The sequence below is a fragment of the Homo sapiens genome, chromosome 1 (genome assembly GCF_000001405.40).
Source record: "Homo sapiens chromosome 1, GRCh38.p14 Primary Assembly".
NCBI classification, from domain to species: Eukaryota; Metazoa; Chordata; class Mammalia; order Primates; family Hominidae; genus Homo; species Homo sapiens.
In genome coordinates, this window is record NC_000001.11 from 178,659,753 (window position 1) to 178,673,053 (window position 13,301).

Sequence of the window (13,301 nt, forward strand, 5' to 3'; positions counted from 1 at the left end):
GGGGTTTGGGGAATCAGAAGAATAATGAGTATTAGTACACTAAAAACAAAACAACAACAAAAACCAAAAACAAAACAAAGATTCTATCTGGGGCTTTGGAAGGGCTGGAAATATTTGAGTAGGTGAAAAAAAAAGAAGAAAGGGCCTAACATAAGCTAGGTGGGGAAACCACAAGATTCGTGTGGCAATAAAAATAAACTGATCTAATAGAGGCAGAGAGAAAATGACAGAGGCAAAAAGGAACTGAGATTGAATAGGTTAAAAAGGGTCAGAGCAGAGCAAATTTTGAATGTGTCACATAGAGGAGTTATTTGAAGGGGACGTGACATTTTCCAGTGGGGTGTCAAGGTGTCAAGGATGAGTGTGGTGTCATGTCGTGACTGAAGTTGGGAATAAAGGAGTATTCTGCTGCCGGCACAATACTCAGGCAAAGTACCTTGGGAACAGATAAAGGGTGCTACAATTAGATTTCCCCACAGCCTAAGCAGAAATCCCAAGGAGAAGCCCCTTTGCTCTTGGAATATGTCTCAGAAACTTAGAGGTCACAGCTGAATCTGAGAATGGACCCAGCCAGGAGGACCTCACATACTCACTGGTTAGAAATAATTGTTTGTTGCTATAGAATCCAGTAAGTATTAGTTCTTGTGTGAAGGCATGGCACTGGGGGGCTTTCTGAAAGCACATTGGAGATATTGTTGGGAAAATGTTAGGTTTTTAATCACCAAAAAATGATCACAATTGAATTTCAAGTAAATTGCCTCCTTAGTTTTGCTGCAGCTGCCTTAAAAACATCCTTGCTTTTGGAAGTGGAATATTCATTATGATTCAAAATGATACTTTGTAGTCTTGCTCTAATGATGCACACACATGACCTTTTGAGAAATCCAGATGTTGCTAATGTTCCAGCTGTGTAGAATAGATTTACTGTGACTAGAAGCTGGAAATGACCTAGATAAGCACAGCAAAACCCAAAGGACCCACTCATTTTTTTCTGTTAAGATGAAGTGACTAATTGGATGGTTAAACCTGTTATAGTTCCCTGGCTTCCACCTCTTCTCAAAGAAGAGAAAGGCATCTCATTATGTAGCACCAAAGCGACATTTTAAAGAGTGCTTCAGCATTGACTTTATTCCCAAGCTTGTAACTAGGCCATTTATTGCATTTGAAAAAAGAAAATGCCTCCATTGTGCCTCCTACTGTGTCATACACCACAGCATCACCATGGGTGATGGGAACACTGAACCTGTGCTACCTTCCTCCACACTGGCCTCAGTGTCCCTCCTGTTTTCTGATGCACTAGGAAGAAGACTTATATCTAGCGGGTGTTACATCCCTGGGTACTCACCTCTCTGCTGGGTGCTCAGTGAGTGTTCACATGTGAAGGAAATAACATCACACCCATGTTACATATGAAAAAAGCAAATTCCAGAGAACATTTTCCCTCCATCATCTGTTTGTTTCAGATAAGTAATATATTGACCCTTGGGGCTCTCATTTCTGAACTCCAAACTTTTGCAATAAGAATAGCTCTGTCAGGCTGGCGCAGTGGCTCACGCCTGTAATCCCAGCACTTTGGGAGGCTAAGCCAGGTGGATCACTTGAAGTCAGGAGTTCGAGACCAGCCTGGCCAACATGGTGAAAACCCGTCTCTACTAAAAATTCAAAAAATTAGCCAGGCATGGTGGCGCACGCCTGTAGTCCCAGCTACTAGGGAGGCTGAGGCACAAGAATTGCTTGAGCCCAGGAGACGGAGGTTGCAGTGAGCCAAGATCACGCCACTGCACTCCAGCCTGGGTGACAGAGTGAGACTGGGTCTATCTCTCTCTCTCTCTCTCACACACACACAAACACACACACACACACACACACACACACACACACACACACACACACACACAGAGAATAGCTCTGCCTGGTCACATAGAGGTGGAACCCTTTGTAAAAAAAAAAAAAATGCTGTATTACTTAGAAATATCTAACTCTCACTTGTTTCAAGAAAAAAACACTGAGAAAACAAAAGTCCAGGACAACAAAAGAATATACAGAGGAAAAAAACAAATGATCCCTTTCTCCTCTGGACAGGGGCCACATTTCCTTTGTCACTATATCCCCAGTGCCTAGAGTGAAGAGGAAATTGAGATAGTTCTGTGGGGGCAAATGAATTCATATGGTGACTTTGGGACCCTGCATTATGGGGTCTGGACTGAAAGATTCCTTCAAAGTCACTCTGGACCAGGCCCACTGCTTCCAGGCACGTTTACATCCAAAGTAAGCAACAAAAGGATCTGACCTCTCTCCCTAAGGCCTAGAACACAATACAGATAACAATAAGAACAACAAAGTGGGTTTAAGATAAAATAAACACAATACACATTGCATTCTTGTCTTCTTTTCTTGTCTTTTCTGGCTGTGTGTATGTTTTTTTAACAGGAATCTGTTGGTGGGAGAATTCCTGGATGTTTCCTACAAGCAGATGGCAATGTTCTCTTAGTCTCATCGGAACCAGACAGAGAAGGGGACGGTGGAAAAAGGACTGATAGAGACAAAGCACATCTAGCCAACCAGTCACCCTCTACTTCTAAAGACTTTTGAAAACAAGAGTATTGTCAAGAATTATTTAACATTATTATGATACTATCATTATAATCAAGGAGTGGGCTGTTGAGAGATTTCATCTTCATTCATTTTTTCAACAAATGTTTGGTCAGTGCCTAGGATGTCAAGTACTGGGCTAGTTGCTTATTTTATAAAGATGAACAAAACAGAGTCCTTGCTAGCAGCTAGGTCATAATGAAGACAACCCAAACAACAATGACCGCGCTGTTAGCTAGGACAGCAGCGTGCCTAGGATGCAAGGAGAACCTTGGAGGGCAGTCAGAAAGGGTCCCAAGACCAGGTGACATTAGAGCTGTGCTGGGAAAGAGGGGTAAGATTTAGACGCAGGCGAAGAAACGAAGCAAGCACATTCAAGGTGGGAGTCAAAGTCACTGAAATATGAGAGCACCTGAGCTAGTTGGTACCACTAGAATCAGGGGTAAGGCTAAGAGAGGATGAGGAACTGAGGCTGATGAAGGTAGCAAAAGTAGACCAAGCAAGATGTTGGCTCTCATGATTAGACATTTTTTCTCAAAGCAGTGGGGAACCATCAAAGGTTTTTCACCAGAAAAAAATGTCATGTTAACATTTTTTTTAAAAATTGAGACAGAGTCTTACTCTGTTGCCTAGGCTAGAGTGCTGTGCCACAATCACAGCCCTCCTGGGCTTAGGCGATCCTCTTGCCTTAGCCTTACACATAGCTGGGACCACAGGCACATACCACCACCATGCCTGGGTAATTTTTTAAAAAAATATTATTTGTAGAGACAGGGTCTCACTATGTTGCCCAGGCTGACCTCAAACTCCTGGGCTCAAGTGATCCTCCTGCCTCAACCTCCCAAAGTGCTGGGATTGTAGGTGTAAGCCATTGCACCTGACTCATTTTAGCATTTTTAAAAGATTACTTGGGAATAAATGTAGGACACAGACTTGTTGGGCAGGAGTTAGGAAACAAGACTGAAGAAAAGGAGACCAGTTAAGAAGGTATGGCAAGAAACTAGGAGAGAAATTATACAGGTCCTAAACCAAAGAGTGCTAATAAGGATGGAGGGGAGGAGGCAGATTGGCTAACTGAATGTGAAGAATGAGTGGAGAAGGCACAGAAGAAGACACTTTAGGTACCTCTCAGTCTTCTGTCCTGAATGACCAGATAGATGTGCATGTCGTTAACCAACATTCAATGTCTGGAACAGAAACATTTTAGGGAGGAAGATGATATGGGCAATATGGGATATGTTTAGTTTGAGATGTCCAGCTGGGAGTTGAAAAGCCGTGTGTGGAGCAGGAAGAAGTTCTAGGCTGGAGATAGACATCAGCACTGGGATGATCACTGAAGCTATAGGCTTAAGTTCTACTAGATCAATGGCTTTGAGACTATTTTTTCTATAACCCACAGCAGAAATACATTTTATGTCACAATCCTGTGTACACATACACACACCTATAAAAATGTTCATTCAACAGTATTTACCATGACCAAGTGTGACGGACTCTAAGAGCTTTCTATTGAATTTCAGTTTTTTTAAATGCTGGTCAGATGCACCGATTTGATTTCACAATCTACTAATCACTAATGGGTTGCAGCCTGTAGTTTAAAATGCACTACCCTAGATTATAAGCTTCTTGTAGCAGGGACCACATCTTATACAGTTTAGATTCCCCGTGGCAACTATTATAATGCCTTGCACATAATGAATTTTTGTGGAAGGAAATCAGGGGAAAAAGGAAGGAATGAAGTGAGGGAGGGAGAGAGAGACGAATTTTTCCAGTACTCAACCTTAAAATGTTCTCCAAAACTACAATGAAATCTTGTCTCCTCCAATTCTACTGAACTTTCATATACACAGTTTCTATTTTTTTCCTCATATTTCCAAGGTAAATCAAACATGGGTCACAATGCCTCAGGGGAGATTTGGTGTTTTGCTTTTTCTCACCACCAACTCCCTACACCACATCTAGGGCTCCAACCATAGTCTTTTAGTTGGACTAGACTGGCCAAGCAAGACACTTATGTTACATGGCTGCAGCCCTCCTATGCAAAGGTTGTCACGCTGTGTACCACATGACCCCACAACAGCTGCCTGGACCGGAGGAAGATGGCAGCAGCAGCCAACACACACACAGAGAAGAGGAAGTAGAAGCCCTAAGAAAATAGAAGCTATGAGCAAGCTGAAGATGAGGAAGAGAGGACAGGATGGAGAAATTAGTTGGTAGCGGCAGAAGCAAAGAGTAGTTTGGAAACTGAAAGAGCGAGCACTAGAAATAGGTATAGTTGCCAACTTCTGTTCATAGGGACAAGATACCCAAGTAAGCTGTGATGAATCCTGCGTTATCTTCCATTACCCTGATGACATTGCAAGCTCTGTGAGGACCAGCTTTTCATAGATTCTTCTTTCTCCACAAGGACCGCATATCATACATCAAATTTCTCCCTTGCTTCCTTTCTCTTGTACTCAAAAAAATTAACTTACAGAAAAGTTGCAAGAATATTGCAAAGAACTCATACCCTTTACCCAGATTCAGCAATTTTTAACATTTTGCCACATTTCTTTCTCTCTCTTTCTCATTTTTGTCTGAAGCATTTGAGACTAGGATGCATATATCACTTTTTTTCTTAATATTTCAGTATGTATTTCCTTAGATATTTTCTTACACAGTCGTGGTACACAGCTCCAATTCAGGCAATTTTACATTGATATAATAGTTCAATGTTAAACCCCACATTTCTACACCATTGTTCATAGCAGCACTATTCACAACAGCGAAAAGGTAGAAACAACCCAAATGTTCATCAACAGATGACTGAATAAACAAAATGTGGCCAGGCGCAGTGGTTCACGCCTGTAATCCCAGCACTTTGGGAGGCCGAGGCAGGCAGATCACCTGAGGTCAGGAGTTCAAAACCAGCCTGGCCAACATGGTGAAACCCCATCTCTACTAAAAATACAAAAATTAGCCGGGTGTGATGGCGAGCACCTGTAATCCTAGCTGATTGAGAGGCTGAGGCAGGAGAATCACTTGAACCTGGGAGGTGGAGTTTGCAGTGAGCCATGATCGTGCCACTGCACTCCAGCCTGGATGACAGAGTGAGATTTTGTCTCAAAACAAAACAAAACAAAAACAAAAACAAAAACAAATGTGGTACATACATACAATGGAAAATGATTCAGCCTTAAAAAGGAATGAAATTCTGGCACAAGCTATAACATAAATAGACCTTGAAAACATTACGCTAAGTGAAATAAACTGGATACAAAAGGACAAATACTGTATGATTTCACCTACATGAGATACCTAGAATAGGCAAAGTCCTAGAGACAGAAAGTAGAATGGTGGTGACCAGGAGCTAGGAGTAGGAGGAAATGGGGAGTTATTATTTGACAGGTATAGAGTTTAGGTATGGAAAGATAAAAACATTCTGGAGATGGATAGTGATGATGGTTGCACAATAGTGTGAATGGACTTAATGCTACTGAGCTGTACATCTACAAATAGTTAAAATGGTAAGTTTTATGTTTTGTGTACTTTACTGTACTTTTTTTAAGTTGATGTTCTAATTCTGTGAATTATCCCAATAATGTACTTGTAGCATGTTTTTTTTTTCACTCCATTCCACGATCCAGTCCAGGATCACATGTTTTACATATTGCATTTAATGATTATGTCTCCTCAGCAGGGTGATCAAGTCATCAATTCAGAATAACCCTGTTTTCCCAGACCTTCTCCATTTTAGCACTGAAAGTCCTGCATCCTGGGAAACTACTCAGTCCTAGGTGAATGGGTGAAGAGTTGGTTATGCTACTCTTCAGTCTCCTTTAATCTGGAACCGTTGGCTCAGCCTTTCAATGTTATGTCTTTTATAACATTGCCATTTTTAAAGAAATCAAGTCAGATACTTTATTGAACATCCCTCAACTTGATATTACCTGATATTCTCCCAGGTTATGCATTTCTGGTTGGAATACTACATTAGTGATTTTGTGTCCTTTTTGAAGTATCACAGCTGGAGGCACAGATGTCCATCTGTCCTGCATTGGTAACGTTAATTTTGATCATGATCAAGGTGTGGTCTAGTTTCATAATCATGTGCTTACTATTTCCTTCCACATATATGCTTATAATAAACTTCTGTTAACAGTGTTCCTTGCTACCTGAAACAGCCTAAGCAGAAGCTCAAAATATATTATAGGAAACATCTGATAGCATCCTTGCACTTGACAAAAGAAAGCATTTCAAAATTCGTTTTCCATTGTCATTGCAGAGTACCATAAATCACTGCATTCCTCATCTCTTCTGTCCTTGGCCACTTTAGGTTTTGAGGTGACAGAATTTTCAAAATGTATATATTTCTATATAATTCTTTCTTTTATTTAAAAAATCACATTATTGGTGAAAAAAAGCATGGCTTTCTGTTTAAATTACCTGTCTTGACACTTATTCTCAAAGTGAAGACTATTGTCTGGGGAAAACACACTATGTGTAGCAAGAACCTTTACACTTTTTAACTGACAGCCCCAACTGCCATCAGCATTTGTTGTATATTTAGTTGTCGTATAGATCAGTTCAAAGGAACACATTTTCTTTGTTAATTACTCAGTCAGGTAACCAGTTGATATGGCTTGGCTGTGTCCCCATTCAAATCTCAACTCGATTGTATCTCCCAGAATCCCCACGTGTTGTGGGAGGGACCCAGGGGGAGGTAATTGAATCATGGGGGCTGGTCTTTCCCGTGCTATTCTCTTGATAGTGAATAAGTCTCACGAGATCTGATGGGTTTATCAGGGGCTTCCGCTTTTGCATCTTGCTCATTTCTCTCTTGCTGCCGCGATGGAAGAAGTGCCTTTCACCTTCCACTGCGATTCTGAGGCCTCCCCAGCCATGTGGAACTGTAAGTCCAATTAAACCTCTTTTTGTTCCCAGTTTTTGGGTATGTCTTTACCAGCAGCGTGAAAACGAACTACTAATACACCAGTGAACTCTCCAAGTTCACTAATAGTCTTTGAAGGTGGGACTTTGGAGGTAGGAGATAAGCAAGGGTCTCTGGACTATTTGAAAGATGCAGAAGCCGTCAGACACTGGGCACGCTGTGCCCCAGGACCTAACCATAGCCTTTGGCACCTACTAACATGCCACCTAATCTATTTATTTATTATGTTTGCTATTAGTTTTCTGCCTCTCTCTGCTAGAATGAAGAAAGCTCCATGAAACTAGGGATCTTTGTTTTTAAGATCAGACAGTATGCATGCCCTATAGCATACACTCAACTAAGATATGTTGAATGAATGAATAAATGAACTTGTTATGAATGTAATTAATGCCACTGACTTGTATGCTTAAAAATTATTAAGATAGGAAATGCTATGATATGTGTATTTTACCACACACAAAATAAGTTTATAAAAGCAACAGTTATCTAACGTGGGCTAGTCCTGGATTGTTGCTGTATTTGAAATAACCTCAGTAGATCTACTCTACCAAGGAATTGGCCCAGACCAATTTCTCATCCAAAGAACTGATGGAGGATCAGACAATTTCAAAGCCCCTTGATTCAAGTGTTGTTGAAGTTTTTAGTTTCTGGTGGGGAGATGAAGGGAAGTAGCCCCTTTGGTTTTAACCTTTCCTGCCATGAGTTTCCCCATAGGTACTCTTACTCTTACTTCCACAGAGATTTAAAAAGTGGAGTTCATGCAGTTGAGCTCAATTTTTTTTTTCTTTTAAAAAGGAGATTTAAAAAGTGGAGTCCTCAGTCAGGTGCAGTGGCTCATGCCTGTAATCCCAGGAATCCCAGCACTTCGGGAGGCCAAGGTGGCAGATAACTTAAAGTCAGAAGTTCAAGACCAGCCTGGCCAAAATGGCAAAACCCCATCTCTACTAAAAACAGAAAAATTAGCCGGGCATGGTGGTGCAGGCCTGTAATTCCAGCTACTCAGAAGGCTGATGTGAGAGAAGTGCTTGAACCCAGGAGGCGCAGGAGTGCAGTGCCACTGCACTCCAGCCTGGGCAACAGAGTGAGACTCCATCTCAAAAATAAAAAAAAATAAAAAAATAAAAGAAGAAGAAAGAAAGAGAGAACGAGAAAGGAGAAGGGAGGGAGGCAGGAAGGAAGGAAGGAAGGAGAGAGAGAGAGAGAAACTGCCCTTTGGGTAGCATGGCATATGCCGCTTCTCCTGTTCGCAGTCAGATCTTCCTCCCTTTATGTAAAGAGTCTATTCTTACCACTGCTGACATCTAAAGAGCACAGAAGCAAGAATTACAGCTTAGAGAAGTTCTGCAAGATAGAAGTAACAAGGGAAGACAGAAGATTGTCTACTCTGGGGAGTTTTCTGCTTTAGTGTTCACAAAACATTTCATAATCTGCAGATAAATGTGCAGGCTCTGCAAAATAGAACATGCAAATAGTTCTTGGTAAAATCTATGGATCAAAGCTATTTCTCTTTGCCCTTCAAATGATCTAGTTTGCTTTTTAAATATTTGAACATTTTCCTACAAGTTGTGACAATGACACAAGTTTAAACACACCATGCCTTTTATAAATAGATCCTAACCTGAAAAAGCTTCCACCCTGACTGACTCTTGTCTGAGGTTTGAGAGGAAAAGAGAGATTTAAAGGGAAGCTAATTAATACAAATCTTCTAAAACATACATGAGGCTAGGAATATATTAAGTGCTTAATTAAAAAACAATGTAATCCCAGCACTTTGGGAGGCCGAGGCGGGCGGATCACGAGGTCAGGAGATCGAGACCATCCTGGCGAACACGGTGAAACCCCGTCTCTACTAAAAATACAAAAAAAATTTAGCCGGGCGTGGTGGCAGGCGCCTGTAGTCCCAGCTACTCGGGAGGCTGAGGCAGGAGAATGGTGTGAACCCGGGGGGCGGAGCTTGCGGTGAGCCGTGACCGCGCCACTGCACTCCTGCCTGGGAGACAGCGAGACTCCATCTCAAAAAAAAAAAAAAAAAAAATGTTCTATTGGGTTTAACACCTAAGTCAATGAAGTCGTATCAGTTGAGGAAATAGTCACAAAAGAGGTTTTGTAAATGGCAGAATTGATGAGTGCTACAGTTCACAAATTTTCTACCATCCATTCAGATTTAGAATCAAATGAAGATTCAACTAACAGGTATTGAACATCTACTTTGTGTCATGTTGTGTGTTTTAACACATTTTATTTCCTTTAATTTACAGCCATAACTATATAGATTAGAAAATACTGCAGACTTCTTGAGGCAACTATTTTGGTTCTCAGCTAAGAAAATTTCTTTTCTCTTATTGTCTCTCTTTCTTTTCTTTTTTTTTTTTTTTTTTTGGTTGTAGCATTGGTGGTGTTGAATAACAGGAACAAGAGGTCATTCTTACTTTGTTTTAGTACTACTATTTCAAAGACTCAGATACTTTCAGGATTTCTCTAACAAATAGAAAAAGTGTGTTTTTGTTGAAGACCATAAAGTTAATTCTATCAACTCGAAGCCAATATTTTTATGAGTATATTTTATAACTATATATTTTAGTTATAGTGCCCTGTTGTATTTAGTTTATTTGTATGTTTTGATTCTGCATTGAAACATAAATTCTGGGTTTCAGCTAAAACTGTCACAGAAGTGAGCAGAAAAATTACAAAGGAAGTCAGGATGAGAAATACCTGCTGGGGATTAGGCTCTTAGAAAAATGGAATATCTGATTTACTCCCTCACATCTAACAAGCTCAAGGCACATTTTCTAACTCTCCCTTTTGTAAAAAGTGTCAATGAGCACAATGGCTATTTTCACATCATCCCAGAACATAACACTGATAGATGTTAGTGCCCTCTTGTTTTCAATTTTCATTCTAGGGAAAACATTTTAGCAGTAAACATTTGGAATAGGGTACCACTTAAAAAGCATCATACTAAATATCACATAAAGGTCATTTCCATATGGCGTTTTAAATAACACAACCCCACTCAAAAAATTTACATATATTCCCATATGTGTAGGGACCATTATATTGTTGTAGTTCCCACTCCAGTGGCTGCAATAAATAACTGTTAAATTGTTAAAATTGAGTAGTGCCTCTGAAGGTATAGCTGAATAGGTAAATTTTGAGAGAAGATAGATGATTCTGTGTATAGGGACTGTAAGAAATATGAATTTACCCTAGAACATGGGATCTGCAGCATGAAAGTCTGGACTCTAGAATTCATTCTAACATTTACTAATTGTATGACCTTGAGGAAGTTCATTTTAAATTTGTAAAATAGGGATAAAATATTACTTGCCTTCTAGGAATGCTATGATGTTTTGAAAATAGTGATAAAGAAAAATTTTTTAGAGCTAGGAATCACGAATAAATTAGTTATAATAATAAATGCTTTTAGTAAAATTGTTTTGGATATATATATATTTATATTTATATATTTATATTTATATATTTATATTTATATTTATATTTATATTTTTTTGAGATGAAGTCTCGCTCTTGTCCCCCAGGCTGGAGTGCAATGGCACAATCTCTGCTCACTGCAACCTCCACCTCCTGGGTTCAAGTGATTCTCTTGCCTCAGCCTCCCGACTAGCTGGGATTACAGGCATTTGCACATGCCAGCTAATTTTTGTATGTTTAGTAGAGACGGGGTTTCACCATTTTGGCCAGGCTGGTCTTGAACTCCTGACCTCAGGTGATCTGCCCACCTCGGCCTCCCAAAGTGCTGGGATTATAAGCGTGAGCCACTGCGCCCAGCCTCATTTATATTTTTTAAATCTAAAAATCATTTTGGCCAGGCGAAGTGGCTCACACCTGTAATCCCAGCACTTTGGGAGGCCAAGGCAGGTGGATCACAAGGTCAGGAGTTTGAGACCAGCCTGGCCAACATAGTGAAACCCGTTCTCTACTAAAAATACAAAAAATTAGCCGGGCATGGTGGTGCATGCCTGTAATCCCAGCTACTAGAGAGGCTGAGGCAGCAGAATCGCTTGAACCTGGGAGGCAGATGTTGCAGTGAGCCGAGATCGTGCCATTGCACTCCAGCCTGGGCGACAGTGTGAGACTCGGTCTCAAAAAAATAATCAGTTTGTAGAATGATGCCAACAAAATATTTGAATAGGAGGTCCCTGCTCATATCCCCCCATAGCAACAATGATTTGGCAGCCATCCACAGACAAAAGTGCCTTTGTGAGAGCTTTGGGATCTACGTAGGAGGTTGCAAACCTCAGGTGGAACCCAAGACCTAGGTAAGCCATTTTAAGAAGGCAGGCCCATGTCCAGGTGGAAGGCTCACTGACCATGATCCTGGCTATAAACCCAGAAATAGCCCCATCTGCCAATGGACTGAGATATAGCCCTATTTGGCTTAGGTCCTCCCCACCAGCACCATCCATCAAGGGACTCAGGAGGAGACACCCCTGCCCATGCTTTGGATAATAGGCTGGCTGACCTGGGTCCTGGCTATGGACCCTAAAGCAGTCCATGACCCGGCTTCAGCCCCTCTCAGCCATGGTTCAGGAGCTGTCTTTGGCAGGGCAGTCCCCCTGGAGGCAGCCCCACTGACTTCAATCCAACTGCAGGTCCTGAAGCAGCCCTGTGACCCAGCTCTAGCCTGCTTTTGGAGCTAGTTATTAGGTCTTTATTAGTTTCCTTTGATGGTGTCATGTTTGCCTGTTTCTTCATGATTCATGTAGCCTTGCATTCATGTCTGTGCATTTGAAGGTGCAGTCACTTCTGCCAGTCTTTACACACTGGTTTAAGCAGATAAAGACTTTCTCTTGTCAAGTCCCCAGTTAGACCTCCATCACAGCTGTGGATCCTGAAACAGCCATGTGACTCAGTTCCAGCCCCTCTCAGCTAACATTTGGAGTCATCACCGCCTGTCCAGGGACCCATCCAGTGACCTAGTAGGAGTCCTACCAGAGACCTGGAGGGAGCCACACCCATTCATTCACCTGGTAACAGGCCCTTTATCTGAGGATCCAACTGTAGACCCTTGAGGAGACACATGGGACCAGAGCCAATTAGAGGAATGAAAAGGAAAAAAGAATTTAAGAAGTGACAAAAGAATACAAGACCCATGGGACACCATTGAATAAATGTGTGCATTATGGAAGTCCCAGAAGAAGAGAAAAAGAGAAAGAGGTAGAAATCTTATTTAAAACAATAGTGGCTGAAAAGTTCCCAAATCTTGGGAGGGAAGTGGACATCAAGACTCATAAAATCTCAAAATTCCCAAGATCAATCCAAAGAAGACTATTCCAAGACATATGGTCAAATCATCAAAAATCAAACACAGAGAAAATTTTGAAAGCAGCAAGAGAAACTCTTCACATACAAGGGAAATCAATTAGGCTATCAGAGATTTCTCAGCAGATATATTCAAAGTGCTTAAAAAACAAAAACAAAATTAAAAAAAAAAAAGCATGCCAACCAAAATACTAAAGCCAGAAAAGCCATCCTTCAGAAATAAAGAAGAGATAAAGACATTCCCAGACAAAATGTAACAAAGCTCACCACTAAAACTGCCTTACAAAAAATGCTAAAGGGAGTTCTGCAAGTTGAAACAAAAGGATGCTAAGTAGCAACATAAAAATATATGAAAGCACAAAAGTCACTGGTAAAGGTAAATACATAGTCAAGTTCAGAATGCTCTAATACTATAATAGCAGTAGGTAAATCATTTTTACTTCTAGTATAAAAGTTAAAAAACAAAAATATGGCCAGGTACGGTGGCTCACGCCTG

General features: G+C 40.9%; 1 annotated feature.

Moving 5' to 3' along the window:
- Positions 4,618–4,827: an enhancer, noted in NCBI's record as "active region_2148". NCBI's record gives its function as "activates an Ori minimal core promoter by ATAC-STARR-seq in GM12878 lymphoblastoid cells {active_cell/tissue: GM12878}" and the evidence as "EXISTENCE:reporter gene assay evidence [ECO:0000049][PMID:35858748]".